The following is a 3,273-nucleotide window of genomic DNA, read 5'->3' on the forward strand; positions in this document are numbered from 1 at the left end:
TTCTGCTCCTCCCTCACTGTACTCCAGCTTATTCGAATTTGTTTTAGTGTCTTTCTCTGGATGCCCAGTATTTTCCACTTAGACCATCTTCTCTCCATCCTCATTGCTATGATTCACTAATTCCATCTGAAAGATTTCAACAACTTGAGAAGAGTCTTTCTCTACAGCTGAATCACTGTTATCATATTTGCAGAATTCAAACACTATGTTGATGACTGGCCTCTCTTCCTTGACTTTCACAATGCCAAGATTTTGGGCTTCCTTTTTTAAAACTATCAGTATATTAGTCAGGGTTCTCCAGAGAAACAAAACCAGTAGGAAGTAGGATACACATTCAGTCATCCCTCAATATCTTAGAGGTATTTGTTTCAGGACCCCCTTGGATACCAAAATCTGTGGATGTCCTAGTGCCTTATATAAAATGGTATACAACCTACACACATCCTTCCATATACTTTAAATCATTTCTAGTATACTTATAATACATAACACAATGTAAATGCTATTTAAATAGTTGATATACTTTATTATTTGTAATGCAGTATATCAACTATTTTAGTTGATATTAAAATATTTTTTAATACTTTTTTTTAATTTGTGTTTTTATTTTTACAGTTTTTTTTTTTTTTTTTTTTTTTTTTTGAGACGGAGTCTTGCTCTGTTGCGCAGGGCTGGAGTGCAGTGGTGTGATATCAGCTCACTGCAAGCTCCACCTCCCAGGTTCATGCCATTCTCCTGCCTCAGCCTCCCAAGTAGCTGGGACTACAGGTGCCCGCCACCACGCCCGGCTAATAATTTTTTTTGTATTTTTAGTACAGACGGGGTTTCATTGTGTTAGCCAGGATGGTCTCAATCTCCTGACCTTGTGATCCACCCGCCTTGGCCTCCCAAAGTGCTGGGATTACAGGCGTGAGCCACCGTGCCTGGCCTATAATGTTGTTTTTTAAAGTCTAAATATTTTTGATCCATGGTGGGTTGAATCTGCTAATGCAAAACCCATGGATACTGTGAACCAACTCTACATAGAAAGAGATTTATTATAAGGAGGTGACTCATCATTATGGAGGCTAAGAAGCCTCATGATCAGCCATCTTGCAGCTACACCCAGGAAAGCTGATGGTGTAGTTCCAGTTGGAGTCTGAAGGTCTCAAAACCAGAGGAGCCAATGGCATCAGTCCCCGTCTGAGTCTGAAGGCCCAAGAGCCAGGAGTATGAATGTCTGAGGGTAGGACAAGATGGATATCCCAGCTCAAGCAGAGGGAATAAATTTGTCCCACTTTTTTGTTCCATTCAGGCCCTCAGTGAATTGGATCATGCCCACTCACGTTGGTGAGAACAATTTTCTTTATTCAGTCTACTGCCCAAATGCTAATCCCTTCCAGAAACACCCTCACAGACACACCCACAAATACTGTTTTACCAGCTATCTGGGCATCCTTTAGCCCTGCCAAGTTGATATATAAAATCATTACCGTAAGTAAGGCCATAATTTAGACTGTATCTTCTGAAATAGCTTCCTTTATGAGGTAAAACTCTGAGGTTTCTTCTTCTCAGCACACACTTGAATTCTCTTATTCTTACTTGATATTAGCTTCTGGCATTATTTATGACATCTTTGCTGCTCCCAACTCTTCTAAAAACAATTGACTTTTAATACAATTTCAATGTCATAAGAAAGTTGCAAAAATAGTACAAACAACTTTCTTCTCCATATTCATATTCAGCACTTATTAACACTCTGCCCTCTTTGCTTTCTCATTCTTTTTTTTCTGATTTATTTAAAATTAAGTTGCAAAGTACCCCTTAACCCCTTAAACATTTCTGGGTGCAGTTCCTAAGAACAAGGACTTACATAACTACAGTAAAATGATCTAAATCAGGATCCTAAATATTAAATATCTCTTATCTAACTCACATATTCAAATTTCTAGTTGTCCCAATAATGTCTTTTTCTTCCTAGCCTAGTATTCCACTATCATGATTTGTTTTTAGTTTCCCCATATCTTTAGTCTCCCTTAGCCTAGGACATTTCCTCAGTCTTTTTTGTCTTTCTTGAGCTTTAAATATTTTAAGAGGACAGGCAATTAATTTCTAGAATGTCCTTCAATTTGGGTTTATCTACAGCTTTCTCATGCTTAGATTCATTTATGTATTTTCAGCAGGGAAACTAGAATAATAATATGTTTTTCTCAGTATATCATATCAGAAGGCATGTGATAAAGTGTTGCCTACTATTGGTGATATTAACTTTGATTTCTATATTAAGGTGTCCACCAGCTTGGTCCACTGTAAAGTTACTATATTTCCCTTTGTCAGATACTCAGAGGTTATGTAAATACCCTGTTCCTCATCAAACACTCCACTGGTGATTTTGACCTAAATCAGTTCTTACAGGGTGGTTGCAAAGTGATAATTTTCCCTTAACTCTGTCATTGCTTTTACATTTATTAGTTGTCATTCAACTCTAAGATAAAGCTATTCTTTCTCCTGCATATACTACTTATTCATTTATGTATTTATATAAGTGTTGGTTTACGGATTTTTGCTTTATTCAATGGATTATTATCTATTCTCATTAATTATTTTGCTGCTCCAATTTCCCAAGAAATATAGCCATTGAGAGCATCTTTATGCTAATTCTTGCAGCCTTTTTGTATGCTCCCATTATTCTTTGAGCAATTCGTTACTTTCTGGAAAAAGATATTCCAGGTTTATGACATACTTTTGGTGCTCCATGATTTCCAAGATTCCCTGGTTCCTTATTGTGAGGAATGCTATTTTGAAATCGAAATGTATATGCGAGGTGAGCTCATTTCTCCTGGGGTGTCAATGCTACTGTCTTTTCAGCAGAAAGAGCTGTGTGTGTCTGTGTGTGTCTGTGTGTGTGTGTGTGTGTGTGTGTGTTGTGTGTAACTATTTACATTCCATCTATTATCTATGTCAAACACCATAGTTCATACTAATGTTTTCCATTCCAGTCTATACTTTTTCATTCCCATATTTGTAGCTTTTTCTCTAACAGAGATGTCTGGTTCCCATGATTATCAATATATTAACCATTTGTTCAATCCTGAAATATATATAAAATAGTTTCAGAATTGCTAATTCATATCACCATGAAAAACAATCTATTAAATAGAGTTCAGTATTTGTTTGCATTTGTTTTCATCTTTAGACTGAGGGAGGATTTTGAGTTCTATTTGGGGCAATTAAATTTGAGGTGCCTATTACATATTAGGATAGAGATACAGAGCAGTCTTTCTGGATCTCAGA

The sequence above is a fragment of the Homo sapiens genome, chromosome 8 (genome assembly GCF_000001405.40).
Source record: "Homo sapiens chromosome 8, GRCh38.p14 Primary Assembly".
Lineage (NCBI taxonomy): Eukaryota > Metazoa > Chordata > Mammalia > Primates > Hominidae > Homo > Homo sapiens.